The sequence below is a fragment of the Homo sapiens genome, chromosome 10, assembly GCF_000001405.40.
Source record: "Homo sapiens chromosome 10, GRCh38.p14 Primary Assembly".
NCBI classification, from domain to species: Eukaryota; Metazoa; Chordata; class Mammalia; order Primates; family Hominidae; genus Homo; species Homo sapiens.
The window spans coordinates 59,873,439-59,890,495 of NC_000010.11; the positions used below are offsets into that span (position 1 = coordinate 59,873,439).

Here is a 17,057-nt window from a genome sequence, read left to right on the forward strand (position 1 = left end):
GAAGAATCACAGAAGGATCTTCCCCGGCCAGAGGTTTCCAAGGGAGAACAACCCTTACCAACACCTTGATTTTGGACTTCTGGCCCCTCCAGAACTGTGAGAAAATTAATTTCTATTGTTTTATGCCACTCAGTCTGTGAAACATTGTTACAACAGCCTTGGGAAACAAACAGACCCAACTCCCACCACCAAAAAAACCTAAATTCTAAAACATATCTGGCCTCATGGGATAAGAGACTGTGGAGCTATATTTTAATATTTAGTATTTTAATATGCCACTTTATTCTGAATATTTCAAAGTAAATGCAGGTTTTTCAATCTTGGTTTCTGACAATGGTATTTACCTAAATTTGTGATGATTTTGTAATAGACTGCTAATTTTTAAAAAAAAAGAAGGACAGAGAACACATATGTAGCTTTTAAAATTATCAAAACAGAATAGTTAAAACAATCCAAGTACATCTTAAATCTTCTATATGAGAATGAATGTTCCCCATTCCTATGATGTTGAGGCAGTAGCACATTTAGACACAATACAGCTGTCAAAATCCCAAATGCTGCAAAATCAACCATGGTCAGTGAAGATCTATGACATCTAATACTGAAAGAAAACGAAGTGAAAGAATGGTGAAGCATGTCCGAAGCGTAGACATTCATTTCCTTACACATTTACCTAGCAAACACACACACACACACACACACACACGCACACACCCCTACATAGATTCCATATGCCAGAAGGCACAGGGAATATAATAAAACTATAATGAGACAGGACCTTACACTCTAACAGGAATGTAACAAAGGCACAAATTGATCTTCTCCCAGTTCTAAAATGTTTTCTTTGGCACTAAACTTGCCTTTTGTTCTCCTATCCAACCAAGACTAGAGTTTCTGTAATTTTATCATTTTTATCAAACATATTAAAATTATCACATTGAAATCCTCCGTTTACAGAAAGGTGGTTCATGGATTAACCAAAGATATACAGAGATCAATATACAAAGATATTCACAGAAATGCCATCCATACCAATGCAAACAACCAATTCACTAACAATACTCCTATTCTGCCAGTGAAGGCAGAATGCTCCCTCCTGCAAACTTTGCCTCAAGCTGTCTACATTTGAATCCCCAGAACCTATGAAAATGTTACTTACATGCAAAGGGGAATTAAGGGAACAGATAGAATTAAGGTTGCCCATCAACTGACTTTAAAATAAGGAAATTATCTTGGGTTCTCTGAATGGGACCCGTATAATCACAGAGGTCCTTTAAAATGGAAAATGGAGGCAGAGAAGAGATCAGAGTGATGCCTAATGATGACTTGACTTGCCATTGCTGGGTTTGAGGATGAGGAAGGGGCCATGAGATGCAGGTAGCCTCTAGAAGTTGGAGAGGCAAGAAAATGGACTCTCCTCTGGGACTTCCAGAAAAACTGCAGCCCTGTCACACTCTGATTTTAGCCCAGTGAGACCCATATTGGACTTCTAACCTATACAACTATGAGATGATAAATCTATGTTACTTCAGGCCACTACATTTGTAATAATTTGTTACAGCAGCAACAGGAAACCAATATAGGCACTAATAAATGACGGTGTATCCTGACAATGAAATAATATGTTGCCATGATTAAGAACAAGTGAAAATTGTCATGATACGTGTTCAGTTGGGAAAAAACATGGTGGGAACCACAACATGACCCAAATTTTGCTTTAAAGGTTCACACCAACCCTCAGATATGTTAGAAATGACTAGAAGCACATAAACCAGAATAGAGGTGGTTGTGAGGGATGGCACTGATGACCTATTATCTATATAATGAACCTGTTTTCCAAATTTTGTCCAAAAAATAGTTATTTATCATCACTAAAATATATTTAAAGTCTGGTAGAGATCTGCTCATCTAGGGTGGCTGTTACAGGGTACTCAGTGACTGAACCAGGAAAGATTTGGGAGAGGTGAAGTCTTTCTGAACACCAGAGGAAAAAGAAGGTTTGAAGGACACAGAAGTTCAAAGGTTCTTGTCCAGGTGAGCTTCAAGGACAAAGACCTTTTTTATGTTTCTATCTGTGAATGCTGAGTCCTGCATACAGTTGGCACCTCAAGCACTAGCAGTTCATCTTAAAGTTGCTGATCTGTTGAAAACTACATCACAAGTCCAAGTTGTACCTCCTAAGGAACCAAAAACTGTTTAATTCTCTAGTTACAACATGGCAAAGTTTGAGTTAGTGGTCTGCGCCGATGCTATTCTTCCATCAACCCTAATATTTTTAGTGTGTGATTCTGGAGAATGCAAAGGTTTTCAGGAACACATGCATCACATTAAGACAGAGACCTCTGTATGCAATTTGATGTTTAAGACCTACAAAGCAAGTTAACTAGGTAAACTAACGAAGACAAAAGCTCTGCCCAGCCCAAGCCTGCCACATGACATTCTGAATGTGTTTCATGATATTATGCAAAGGAAATTGCTATTTGGACATTAACCTGAGACTATATACTCCTATCAAAATACTAAATTCTGCAATCCCAAAAAAAATAACGGTTGTTAAAAAAATCTTAATAAATTCGCAATGCCAAGCACATGGCCAACAAGCCTACACACATACACGAGTGCATGCACAGATGTCTTTTTTTTTTTTTTTTTTCAGATCGAGTCTCGTTCTATCATCCAGGCTCACTGCAACCTCTGCCTCCCAGGTTCAAGTGATTCTCCTGCCTCAGCTTCCCTAGTAGCTGGTATTAAAGGCATGCACTACCATGCCCGGCTAGTTTTTGTATTTTTAGTAGAGACGGGGTTTCTCCATGTTGGCCAGGCTAGTCTCGAACTCCTGACCTCAGGCGATCCACCCGCCTTGGCCTCCCACAGTGCTGGGATCACAGGTGTGAGCCACCGCACCCAGCCTCACATATCATTTTTTTAAAAATCACTGATGCATTACATGCCCAGCTGCCTCACTAAATAGATTATTTGCCGTCACCATTCTGTCACCGTAAAAGTTTCTAACATTTTTGAAAAGGCTCCCTTACCCAGAAAGGATACCAGGCCCAGGTGTGACTTTTTTTTCCCTTAACTAGGCAAGGTCCACCAAACTTTTAAGATAAAGATAGCTGCCGTGTTATATAAACTACACCTGTTAAGGGGGAAAAAAAAAAAAAAAAAAAAGCTATCCAAAAGTAGCCCTGCTTCCAAACTGTCCTAGCAAAAAACCCAAAGGCCACTTTTACACAGCACATATACAGAACTCTTGAATAAAATATTAGCAGCATGAGCACAGCAATGTATTAAAATTAAAAAAAATTACAAGCTGGCAGAGTTTATCTCAGCAGTAAGTGGATAATTCAACATTAGACAATTGTATTTCATTACATTGAGATTTTTTGAATACAGTCATGTGTTGGTTAATGACAGGTTATGTTATGAGACATGCATTGTTAGGTGATTTCATCATTGTGTGAACATCAAAGTATACTTACATAAACCCAGATGGTATAGCCTACTACACACCTAGGCTATGTGGTATGGCCTATTGCTCCGAGGCCTGTACAGCACGTTATTATACTGAATACTGCAGGCAATTGTAACATAAGATTAGTATTTATGTATCTAAACATAGAAAAGGTACAGTAAAAATATAATATTTTAATCTTAAGGGACGACTGTCTTACACACAGTCCATCGCAGACTTAAATGCCATTACGCAGTGCATAATCATCTCAGCAGATGCAAAACATTTGACAAAATTCTGCTCATTCACGATGGCAAAACAAACATCCTCCATCTAGGCATCTACTAAGAGCTTTCCTCAGATAACGTATTTAATAAAGCACCAGAATCACTCCTGTAAAGTTTGAAACAAGAGTAGGATGTCTGCGATCATCAATATGACTCAACGTAGTACAGAACATCCTAGCTAATGCAGGAAATAGAAAGAAAATAAATGGAGGTGGTTCTTCTGTTAGGGCTAGGTTCCAAGGTTAGGATGTAAATGCGAAATGGCAGAAAGTCAGGTTCTCTTTGATTACGATACAGCTGGGGTAGGGTCAGGGAAAACATTTCTATAAAAAAAATCTGCACCAGTGGAAACCCGCACCAGGTCATGGAAACTGATGTGGCCATCTGAGGGAAGGAGACTGACTCAGGGCCTACAAATGTTTGTGGAGCAAGAGAGACAGTGGAGGAGCCAGCACTGTCTAAATTATCCCTCTCTTCTGTTTAGTAGGCATACACAACAGAATATGTTAAGTTAAATGTGAGTATGACCCCATTCTGTGGTAAGAGATTAAGAGATGCCAGAAAGGAAAAGACACAAAACTGTCACTCCAGACATCCACCTACAATGTGCAAGAAAACCAACCAATAATTGTTCATCAGGGTAACCAGAGCCAAGCAACAACAACAAAAACACAAAACAAAATCACTTCCAAATACAATGAGAAAGTAAAATTTTAAAAATCTTCACAATGGCAAGAGCAAAGCACCAGAGAAAATACTAAAAACCTGTAAATCCTGTAAAAGTGTTTTCAAAAATACTTGAAAGTGTTAAGAGGGTACACAACTAAGTTCGGGTATCTATGGAATTTAGATGCCATTTCAAAGCATTTCAATGGAATAAATGGCCATATACTGTGTTTAGACAAAATTAGACAGTACCTCAGTTCCTTAGTATCTTAAGGAATAAGAAGTTACTAAAGTTCAATCCTATTTTAAGAACACCCATATTATAAACTATAGATTTATGAAAAACAAGAGTTTAGAAATTTTTCTTGAGAAACAAATAAGTATCCAGGAGTTAATTGGATGCTCATAGCCAGACCTCATTATTACAAATATGCACAAGAAGCCCTACACTTGACAGCAAAATGTCTGCATTTCCAGCTCCCCCCTTGTTTATTTCATCTACTTGAATTGGTCTGAGTTTTGATTCCATTTATCCAAGCACTCCTCTTCACCTTCCTTCCCTTTCCTTTCTTGAATACTGTCAGGCTGGATACTGCAAGGGAAAACTCGCCATTTATATCAGCCAGTTTCACAATCTATCCCATGAAACCAAATGAGAAGGAATTCACAGCTGCAGTTTACGGATAAGGCTATGTAGCAAAACAGGGGTGCCAGAAATCAGAAGGTTCAATGCCCTGTTAGACAAGAAAATTAGAAAAGTATGTTCTGGTCAAGTCACATCCCAATCCATGTGAAAAGATTCAGGAGTCTAAGGTGACCCAGAATGTGACACACAAACCCCTACCCCTTCACAACCAATCATAACATTCAGCTTGCCAAAGTATCAAGTCTTCTACTCACACCCTGCCTTAAAAAGAGTCATAATGAGAGATTTCAGTGCCTCCATGGGGCATCCCAATGAAGTTTTTTTGGATGAAGAGCCCCCTTTCAGAAAATTTTTTTTCATAGGCAAGGAATTATTTAACAATTATGACTATTCATTTAGGCCAAGCCATAAGGGAAAGGAAAGGAAAAGATGCAGTTTGTGTGCTTGGAGGGAAGGGATATCTTCTTGGCCACCTCAAATCCATTTGAGAAGCAGGTACCGTATAAATTAGCAGTTATCATCTCACTGAGAGATCCAACAATTATTTCACAAGGGACCATTAAGAAATTTGGGTCACTATTATGATCATCCTCATTCAACAGGTAAGGAGTGAAGGGTCAAGTGTGATTACGCAATTGCCAAAGGTCCACATGACTTGACAAGGATTACCTAAAACCTTCAAAAGCAGTCCACACAAGGCAACCCCAGTCACTTAAGAAACCTGAAAACAAGGATCTAAAGGGTAATGTTCTAAATATACTTCCTGTTCAGAACACTTACTTAGTATCTTAAAGAATAAGAAGTTACTGAAGTTCAATCCCATTTTAAGAACACCCATATTATAAACTATAGATTTATGAAAAATAAGAGTCTAGAAATTTTTCTTGAGAAACAAATAAGTATCCAGGAGTTAATCAGATGCTCACAGCCAGACCTCATTATTACAAACTAATCTGACACAGCTAACTCACATCATTCTACTGTAGGAAGGACACAAGCAATCTCATTAAACATCTACACCAAACAAGGTCACTCTGAGACGATGACAAAGTGAGACAAAACAAGATCACTGTGAAACCCACAAAATACAAACATATCCCATCTCGGCAAAATTGAGTAACCACTACTTCTTTACTAATTACAGCTGTAGCCTGGCTCTAATCTGCCTTCCCTAAAGGTACTGAGATACCCAATCACAGAATCGCTCCCACTTTCTGAAAACACCCAATCTAAAAAGAACCTTTGCTTCCCTGCTTCCATCAACCCTTCCCAATATTACTCAACCAAAGCCCCAAGTTTCCAATAGGTTCTTTCTAACACCCCTTTCTGCTCTTTAATGTGTTTTCCCCTCAATGCAATGAACGATAAACCCAAGCTTGTTCAATATGTGCCTAGAGGTCTTTGAGGGCACAAATGATTCATCATTTTACCAATTTCCCTTTTCTTTCACCATCAGGCTCCCTCATACATTTACATTTTGATAAAACCGAATTTAACTTCATCTGCAAATAAACTTTTCAGGATCCTAGCTATTGCATAGAAGCATGCTACATCTATAAGAGAAAATGTCTCTGGCAGAGGCTCTGAGTGCATCAATATTTTTAATCCATTCTTTAAAAAATACCGAAGACATTTCCTTCTTAATATACAGAGAATCCTCTATACCAAGAACTCTGAAAACCAGGTAGCTTTTTCTTCTAATGCTCAAAGCATGGCAGACCACGATGACACCGAGAGGACCACATTTTCCAATTTTACAAGTTCTGAAAATACCAACTGTACACTCAGGGGACTTTACAGCCCTATAGTAACAAATGGTTTTGCCCTATAGTAACAAATGGTTTTTCTGGACACTCTAGGTTCTAAGACCCAATCTCAGACGGGAAGAGACCAACAATATAGATAAATCCCACAGACATAATGCTGGGAGAAAGACATTAAACACTTAAAAAGTACACACTGTCTAATTCCAGTTAAGCAGAGTTCAAACTCCACATAGTGGCTACCCTTGGAGGGATAATGGCCGGAAGGGGGCACAGTGGAGTCCAGGTATTAGTAATATTCTGTTTCGTGATCTGGGTGCAAGTTACACATGTGCCTTCAATCTGTGAAAATGAATCAAAATGTACACTTACCATATGTGTATAAGTTATACTCCAAAAAAAGTTTTTAAAAGGAAAAGATAAAGTGGTAGCATGTCACAGAGCAGCCTCCACTTAACTGAGGCTCTGAAAGTGGCATATGTCCACTATTTAGGCCAGTTCCTTAACCTCTCTGAGACACATCTTCCATCTGTAAATGAGGATAACTCTTATACTCACAGGCTCCTTTTGAGAGTTATGTGAGTTACTGCTTGTATTTAGCCTGGTGCACAGAGGATGGTGGTTCAAACCACTGATGTCCTGCTATCCAGTCTCTGCCCAGTGCCACCTCTGTGCAACTCAGGAAGGAACGATCAGTTCTGACATGATCAGAGATGACTACCTTTCTATAATCTGGCAGAGCAGAGCGTTGTCTGCCCGACCCCCTGCTGCACTCCCTTTATCTCCTCCTTCCCCAACCAAAGCCCTTCAGCCCCGCCCAGCAGGTCCCAACAGTCTCCTCAGCCATGTGCCTTCTGACTAAATCCACATCTTCCACCATAATAGCCATCTTCAACCAATATCTTGTCTACTGTTTTCACTGTATTATCACAGATGTCACCACTTCCTACCACTCACCACTGTTCCTGGGCCCCTGATACTGACAGTCACCCCAGCCCAGAGAATGAGAGGTCCAGGGCAATCCCCGAGAAGTGGGTGTGAGCCAGAGTGTGATGTGTCCTGTAAGACTTCAGAATGGTTTTAAGATGAACATCCCGGCAGCACATTCATAAGAAAAAAAGAAACTGTTGGGGCTTCACATGGGGGAAATTCCACCTTCTTTATCTTGGTGTCCCAGAAGGGGCATAACGAGGTGAGACAATTATGCCCCTTTCCTCTCTTAGGGATCAGCTGAGGGCCTACTAAAATTTCAGATTCATTTTGGGCTAATTTTTAATACATGAATTCATTCTAAAATTCACTGGGGGGTTCTTGCATAAATGTGTAAGATTTTAAAGGGAGAGGAGGCATGGATGGCCAGAGGAGAAAAAAAGTCCAATATTCAAATGAAGCCAAAAGTTGAAATTACACACATGCTGATCAACAGGTAGTATGCATTTTGAAAACTTCGCTGAACATCCTGGCTGCCTAAGCAGTTTTTGTTGCCCCAAAACTGAGGAGCTCTACTTGGTATTAAGACCAAAGAAAACAATTTTCTTGTGAGAGTCCCCATGAAGGGGACAATGTGTGATAGGGTAGACGTAACCTCAAAAATATCCTCACTCCACGTTCCTGTCCCTGGGAGGGGCACACTGAATACTTACGAATACTTAGGAATGAAGTGCTCTTGTATCCAAAACCTGCTTTCAGATGGTTGGGCAAAAGGGAACAGAAACAGAGAGGGAAGGAGAGGGAGGGAGAAGGAAAGCTGGGGAGAAGGAAAGGAAAGCCGCGGGGAGAAGGAAAGGAAAGCCAGGGGGAGAAGGAAAGGAAAGCCGCGGGGAGAAGGAAAGGAAAGCCGGGGGGAGAAGGAAAGGAAAGCCGGGGGGAGAAGGAAAGGAAAGCCGCGGGGAGAAGGAAAGGAAAGCCGGCGGGATGAAGGAATATGAAATGCCGGGGGGAGAAGGAAAGGTAAAGCCGCGGGGAGTAAGGAAAGGAAAGTCCGGGGTAGTAAGGAAAGGTAAAGCCGGGGGGATGAATGGAAAGGTAATGCTCGGCGGGAGAATGGAAAGGAAAGCCGGGGGGAGAAGGAAAGGAAAGCCGGCGGGAGAAGGAAAGGAAAGCCGCGGGGAGAAGGAAAGGAAAGCCGCGGGGAGAAGGAAAGGAAAGCCAGGGGGAGAAGGAAAGGAAAGCCAGGGGGAGAAGGAAAGGAAAGCCGGCGGGAGAAGGAAAGGAAAGCCAGGGGGAGAAGGAAAGGAAAGCCGGGGGGAGAAGGAAAGGAAAGCCAGGGGGAGAAGGAAAGGAAAGCCGCGGGGAGAAGGAAAGGAAAGCCGCGGGGAGAAGGAAAGGAAAGCCGCGGGGAGAAGGAAAGGAAAGCCGGCGGGAGAAGGAAAGCCAGGGAGAAGTGGTGACATGGAAGTGGTAACCTTAAACATTAGTGAAACTGGCCAGGAGCAGTGGCTCACGCCTGTAATCCCAACAGTTTGGGAGGCCGAGGCAGGCGGATTATGAGGTTAGGAGATCGAGACCATTCTGGGTAACACAGTGAAACCCCGCCTCTAGTAAAAACACAAAAAATTAGCCGGGCGTGGTGGCGCGCACCTGTAATCCCAGCTACTCAGCAGGCTGAGGCAGGAGAATCGCTTGAACCCGGGAGGCGGAGGTTGCAGTGAGCAGAGATCGCGCCACTGCACTCCAGCCTGGGCGACAGAGCAAGACTCTGCCTCAAAAAAAAAAATTAGTAAAATTAGGTGAGGGGTGTAAGGGTGTTTACCGTATTGATCGACTTTAACTGAAAAAAAAAGGTTTAATTCAGTAGGAAAAAGAAAAAAATGATATATTCGTACCCCCGAAACACAGTGAGTCCCAGGGACTTGGAAGGGTCCTATCAACTGGGTCCATTGCCCACTGTGGTCTCTCCAGTCTCTGTTCCATCAATGGACTCTGAGTCTTAGTCTTTGAGTTAAATACCATGTGTCTTTGCAATAAGCAGACAACACTGTCAGTTACGAAAAGGACTAAAGTATAGCAATGAGTGAAATGTGATACTGGAAGCTATGGGACAGGGAACAAGGAAAGGAAATAAACTCTCCCTTTTATGACCTCCAAGTGAAATGATGGTATCAATACCTTGCAAAGGTATTGCAGAATCAAAAACTAAGACGTACTCCGATGTCCCTGATGAGCCAACTGTCACACTTGATACAAGAAGCAATGCTAATACCATTCATGGCAGCCATCATCTCCCTCTCGCACTGTATTTAGAAGTCTAGACTTTTTCTTCTCTTTGCTCTTTTCAATTCTATCAGCTGAACTTATGTCAGCACAGGCTGATGACAGGGAAAAACTTAATGAATCACAAAGTTTTACTGGAAGGTTACTCAAAATTATAAATCCTATCCAACTGGACCATAATATTAAAAGTTTATATTCTTTTTGTTGGTTTCACGTACACAAATTGGAGTCAACTCAACTGATTATTTAATGAGGAAACACACTTTCCTCTAAAACTCCCTAAACTATATTTGAGAACAGAGGGCTAAGATCCCTATCACATATACTGATGGTGATCAGGGTAGAGCCTGCTTTAAGAAACTCTGTATGCAGTATAAACTGGATAAAGTTTAATGTATTGTTGTCAGAGTTCAAAACCCTCAAGTTTGACAGAAAGCCTCAAACTTTGAACAAATTTCCCAACATTTTCTAGCATTTTTACAAAGACCACCACCTTCTTATGTGACTTGAGAGAGTGACCCATACAAACAGGAGACATGTCTTTAATGGGCTCCAAAAACAGTTTTAAACTCCTAACATCAACCAATCTGTAGATTCTTACTAAGAGAAGCATTTGGTACTAAAAGCCATATTATCTCTGTTCTCTCACTTACTTCTAAGCCAATTAAGCAAAAGAGGAGTTTAATGTTAAGAAAGTTGACTAAGTTTCAGGAAAAAAATAAAGGTAAGTAACATGGCAATTTGTTCTAAGTAAAAGCAACCCCTTCAAAACAAACAAAAAAATAAGATGTTCCCTGCTACAGGACCAAAAAAAGAAGGCAAGAATATAAAAAGAAAGGATTTCAGGTCGAGACAGCGACGACAATAAGCAAAAGATGACTTACTGCTGCCCAAGTGAATACAAACAAAATTTCAAAAGCACATACTCTAAAAACTGGCAACTCTACTCCTAGATTATCCTACAGATAATAAAAACCATTGCTAAGACTTGTTAAAAACATTGTTAAAAGAATGTTTCCTTTAACTTGCTTTATAGAAAGAAGGAGACTGAAAACAATCAACAGAGGAAGAGTTAAAGAGAGTGCGCCCAGTTCCCAGAATACTTTACAGCAAGCCCTTGAAAAGAATGGGGCAATTCTATACCCAGTGCTGGGGATAAAACTCATGAGATGTGTAAAGTAGAAAAAAAAAATCAAGATATAGAACAGCATGTACAATGTGCTCCCATCGCTGGGTATCCTTTTAAGAGGACAATATAGGCACACACTTGTATTTGCATAATATGTATCCAGAAAAACACTTAGGGCATAAGGTGGCCCGGTGCAGTGGGTCATGCCTATAATCCCAGCACTTTGGGAGGCCGAGGCGGGCAGATCACTTGAAGTCAGGAATTTGAGACCAGCCTGGCCAACATGGTGAAACCCCATCTCTACTAAAAATACAAAAATTAGCCAGGCATGGTGACACACGCCTGTAGTCCCAGCTGCTTGGGAGGCTGAGGAAGGAGAACTGCTTGAACCCGGGAGACAGAGGTTGCAGTGAGTTGAGATCGTGCCACCGCACTCCAGCCTGGGTGACAGAGCGAGACTCCGTAACAACAACAACAACAGAAAGAAAGGAAAGAAAGGAAGGAAGGAAGGAAGAAAAGAAAAGGAGAAAAGGAAAGAAAGGACAGAGAATACGTGTGAATCAGGGAAAGGAAGAGCGAAATCTAGTTTGGATACATTTGTTATATCTACAATACTTCCATCTTCATTCTTTTTTCAATACCCCAGCCATGTCAGGAGGTTTGCTTAACAAGCAGTAAATTATTTTGCCACATCTAGATTTTAAAACACCAAGGCTGTTGGCAAAAACACATCCTAATGAAAAACTGTAAGAGAATGGATTAAAGTACCATTTTTGCAGGTCAAATTTATTCAACTAAAGAAAGTTCTAGACTGGCATGGTCCCCCGAATTTAAAAACCTACTCCTAATTTAAAAGCACATATGCCAACATTACCCCTTGAATTAAATTCAAGGAATAATTCAAGTCTAATTCAAGAGTGGTCTAATGCAGGTCCAATTCAAGATTCAGGACTGAGAGCCCTATCAGACCTGGCCCCACCTACTTCCAGCTTCAGGCCACATCCCGATCTCACTCTGACCACAACTCGTCTTTCAGTTCCTCAAACCTGCCCTGCAGTTCTGTCGCTTTCAGGATTTTTTGCATAGCCTCTTCCCTGGGCCCAGAACATTTTTTTACCAATTCTCTTCATGGTTAACTCCAAAAAAGATATACAGGGGATTGCAGCCTACATGTCACTTCAGGGAAGCTCCGTTGGCTGCCTTAAACTGGTCTGGTTCCCCCCATCATATCCTCCAAGAAACACATCTTTTGAAGGATTTATCACAGCTTCAATTCTATAACTGTGAAATCAGTTGTCTGATGTCTATTTCCAACCCCGCCCCCCGCCCCCCCAACTAGAATATCAGCTGCCAGAGGCAGGAACTGTCTCAAAACCTCTTAGCACAATGCATAGAACAGCCTTATATACAGAATAACCTCAGAAATATTAGCAGAATGAACAAAGTTTTGTAATATATACGTTATTTGTAATATCTGTGAGATGAACAAAGAAGACCGGCCAATATGAAAGAAGATTACATTTAAGGTCTGCAGCTTTAAATCTATCTTTAAGCAGGGGAAATGGAAAATACTGCAGAGTAAAATAAAACCACCAGATAAACAGAGCCCGAAACGGACCAGGATAGAAAAATAATGCCAATTACACTTGAATCCATTTAAGCAGCAGCTTCTGGAGGAAGAAGGAGGCTACAATAATAGTATCCAAAATAAACAATTCAGTAATTGATCAACTAGTCAGAGGAAATTATCCTAATTCAAGATCTCATATGAAATATAAAGTGTTATACAGACAAGAATGAGGAAAAAAGACACCAGGAGATGTATCTAATGTGCAGTTGTGAGTTCAATTGTTTATGCAATTTAAAAGAATATCTGGCATCGCTACTTCTACACACTCTTCTGAATCTGTCTTAAATGCACTATCATTTAAACAAAAACACAAAAGCAGTCTGTCCTACTTTTTTCCAAAGAAGTAAATATACAGAAAGGTTTTACCATAAAATGTTAGCAATATTTCCTGTAGATTATAAATGACATCAAGAAACCATAAAAATAAAAATTTTCACTGTGGCCAAAAAACACCAAAAGCCAAGTCAAAAGACAATTGACAGGTGGGAAATTTTTTTGCAACTCAAAATTGAAAAACAAGAGCAAGTCATTGTAACATATAGAGTTCTAAGAAAAATGGGTAAGAGAAAGACCAAGGTCCCCAAAGACAAACAAGAAAGGATATCAACTAGGCAGGTACAGAAAAAGAATACAAATGGCTCTTATAAACACAAGAAATGATGCTTATCCACCCCCTTGAGAGAAATGCAAAGACTGTACTAATATGTCACTGTCCATTTACCAGACTACCAAAATCCAGTTTGAGAAAACCCTCTGACAGTGTAGTATGGGGCCACATATCTCTCATATCCTACTAATGGAAGTGTAAATTGTAGAAGCAACATCTATTCGAATTACACATATATAGGGCAATCGACACAACAATGTCACTTCTGTGAATTTACCAAGAAAGGCAGCATCAAAAAGTGAGGGAATTCCCTAGAATCAGCTTGCTTAGCTAGGTGTCAATTCTGGCTCTCCTACTCTCTGCGGTATGACTTTAAGCAAGTCACCCAACCCTCTCTGAGCCTCAGTTTCCTGTCTGTAAACAAGGATAATATGCTACTGGCTACTTCACAAGACTGATGTAATGATTGAGTCAACATAAGGAAATGGTTGAAGAGAGTGGCTAGGAATTATCCCCTCTGATACACTCACCCACATACAAAATGACCTACGTTCAAGGTGACGGTGACATTTTGAGACAAAAGACTGAAAACAAATTAAATGCACAATGGTAAGAGATACCCACACAATGGCTTACCATGCAACTGTTAAAAAAAAAAAAAAAAAGAGAAGTATCCAAAATATAATTAAATGGCAGGGGGAGGGGCAGAACAGAATATAATATCATATACGCCACCTTTTGTGTTAAAGGGAAGGGGACCAAATACCAAGTGATGTCCTTCCTAGTCAAAAAAATTCAATTAAAAATATTTTTTAAATGGGGCATTATTTCAAATCTCAGAAGAAATATCATATGTACTCACAAATGTATAGACTAGTGGTTCCCAATTTTTGTTGCTGGGTCAAATGCGACATTGGAATTTCCTAGAAATTTTGGAATTGAATGCCCTTTGCTTGTAAGTGCTGAACTATCAGACCCTTTTTTTAACCTCCTCCTCTGCCAAGGAGCTAACAGAGGAGAAAGAACCCTAGCCTGGATGTGAGGCCACCTCCCTGGAAATGCCAACTGTCCCATTTACCAGCACTGTTCCCTGGCCAATAATTTAACAGCATTTCACCTGAGCCCCAGATCCTTTATTTTCTAAGGAGGTACACACTACCTACTCCCACAGACTTGCCGTGAGACTCAAATGAAATAATTTAGCTGAAACCACTCCATAGATGCTGCTCAAGCTGCAGATTTCAGAGCTGGAGATTCTGGGCAAAGACTGCTTGTTATTCTACCTGTCCAGAAAACGTGTCTGCACATACTGCTCACAGCTTCCTGTCTGGTGCTCTCCAGCCCTGAGTGGCTTCACACATAGCACCGCACCAGACTTTCTGGAAGCCATAGATGCCAGTCCATCTTCCGAGGGCATGACTCCCCACAGATGCTCAGACATTTCTCAGCTAGAAGCTTCCAGGGAAGGCTGGCTGCACAGGATGCCTCACTTCAGATTTCCTTATAGTAGAACCACATAAGCCAGGTCTGCTTCACACAGGTGAAGTGGTGACCTAAACTTTCTGCTGCTTCGTCATGGGGGCTGGGAAGCCAGTCTGCATACCTACTGAGGGCAGAACCAGCAAAACTGGGATGCTCGGAAGCTGGGGACCAGGAAACAGGGCAGCAGGTAAAAGGTCTCCAAGCCTGCTGTCAACAGCTTTAGGGAGGAAGGTTAGAGCTGGGGCCAGCAGCCTAAGGGCACAGGGCTTAATAGCAGAGGGGAGACAAGGATAATACCTTTGATCACAGAAAAGCCTGTGATGTTTACCTTTCAAACACTAATTTGCCAGGGGAAAAATTGCTAATTTTGTCTGGTATGATAATGGTATGGTGGTTATAAAGTCCTTATCAGAGAGGCAAACTGAACCATTTATGGTGAAAGCATTTTAAGACTATGTGTCAATAATCAGTGAAGCTGGTGGTTTGTGGATTCACTCTACTTTAGTATATGCTTGAAAATTTCCATAATAAAATAAGCTTAAACAAAATCCACTATCATCATAAAAATAAATTTCACAGCAGGGAAATGTGAGAAAAGTATTCTCACAGTCTGATTGCATGCCAGACAAGCAGGGCCACGAGATAAGGCCTCTAAGTCACTAACATGGGCAGCCATTTCTCCTCCCAGGGTATCAACATCCTCATCAGAGCTGGGGCCCTTGAATATCAGGGGACCCACGCACGCTTCACCCATCAAAACTAACTGGCACTGCCCATGAATTCCTTTTTAGGGCTATTGAGGCATCCCAAGATGCTCCCCACTGGCTACATGGTACATGCTCTGTGTCAGAAGCAGCTGGCCTGGAAGATATTCAGGTGCAGAGCTTCCCATCTGGCATTCCCTGCAGGAAAATGTGCATCAGCCATAAATGACAAATGACAACAGGGACACGTGAGAAAGCATTCTATGGGAGGGGCTTCTGAGGCAGGAGGAAGATGGATAGGAAAGACCTCAAACATCAATCCAGCCATTCTGGGCTGCATGGGATGCTACAAGTCAGCCTGCTGTTTCAAGCTGCCATGCCTTCATCCATGCTGATCCTTCTCCCTAGAATGCCCTTTATTCATGTTTTCCTGAGGGAATAAAAACCTTTGAGTCTTCCAACCTTCTGCTGTCCACAAAGTACTCAACAGCTGCCCAGGCCAAACACAGTCAGTTCCATATTCATTCATTTCTTCCTGGGCCAGCCCTGGGTCTGTCTGGCCCAAGATGCCTCACTGCCCTTCTCTCCTGCTCTGCAAGGTACAGGTGACCTCTGCAGGCTCCATCTCCCAGTTTCCAAAGTACGCCAATGAGATTCAGCCAATAAGAGGCACTAGCAAGAGATGGGAGGATGGAAGGGAGAACTCAGAGTATTTCTCCCCTTTCTCCAACTTGGGCAGCACCCACATCTCAAGGCCCAGGGGAGTTCCAACTTCTTGGTGACCGCAGCCCCTGGGCTCTGATGGCACTACCTCCTCCCTTTATCCTCCAGAGGGGTTGTGGGAGCAGCGTTCTGCTCCTGCTTATCCCTGGGTTGTCTCATCACCCACCCCACTTCAGCTTCTCAGCAACTCTACCACTGGGATGACCAATCTCTGAATTACATTCTTCTCTCTCAACTCCACATGGTTTGTTTTCACAACTCTAGAGCCAAACCCCTCACCTGGGGGCCAAATGCAAGCTGCCCTTCTGCAAACCCTAAATTCTAAACACACTTCTCTCAGGAAGCTGAGGCTCGTCAAGAAAGACATGACTGATGTCTCGTCCCACAGAGAAGGCAAGGCATAGATAGGCCCAGTTCTCCCAGTACCACTGCAGGCTGGCGAGGAAAGGAGACATAAAACAAGGGGTTTCGTAACATGTGGCCAAGTAACGGCAGATACCTGAGACATCCAGTCAACGATGGCTTTCAGAGAGGAGGAGACCAGGAAGCTGGTGTGGAAGAACAGGAACTGTGAAAGCAAACTGAGAGCCGCTGAGGAAGAAGTGGAGGCACCATCCTGAGAAGACTCCAAAGAGCCCCGCAAAAGGAGGGGATGCTGCCAAGGAGGGGATGCTGCGTCGGCTTCTTCTCAGACAGCAACCTGATCTCAGGTTTGTGGGGGAAGAAAACAGAAAAGGGAAGAAATGGGCAAGA

At 41.8% G+C, this 17,057-nt stretch overlaps 1 protein-coding gene across 1 annotated transcript in view, besides 3 other annotated features; it reads right to left on the reverse strand.

Moving 5' to 3' along the window:
- CCDC6 (coiled-coil domain containing 6) overlaps positions 1–17,057 on the reverse strand; it is a 117,810-nt gene that overhangs the window by 84,692 nt on the left and 16,061 nt on the right. The window lies entirely within an intron of this gene.
- Positions 2,748–2,797: an enhancer, noted in NCBI's record as "active region_3388". NCBI's record gives its function as "activates an Ori minimal core promoter by ATAC-STARR-seq in GM12878 lymphoblastoid cells {active_cell/tissue: GM12878}" and the evidence as "EXISTENCE:reporter gene assay evidence [ECO:0000049][PMID:35858748]".
- Positions 7,596–7,645: an enhancer, noted in NCBI's record as "active region_3389". NCBI's record gives its function as "activates an Ori minimal core promoter by ATAC-STARR-seq in GM12878 lymphoblastoid cells {active_cell/tissue: GM12878}" and the evidence as "EXISTENCE:reporter gene assay evidence [ECO:0000049][PMID:35858748]".
- Positions 7,876–8,025: an enhancer, noted in NCBI's record as "active region_3390". NCBI's record gives its function as "activates an Ori minimal core promoter by ATAC-STARR-seq in GM12878 lymphoblastoid cells {active_cell/tissue: GM12878}" and the evidence as "EXISTENCE:reporter gene assay evidence [ECO:0000049][PMID:35858748]".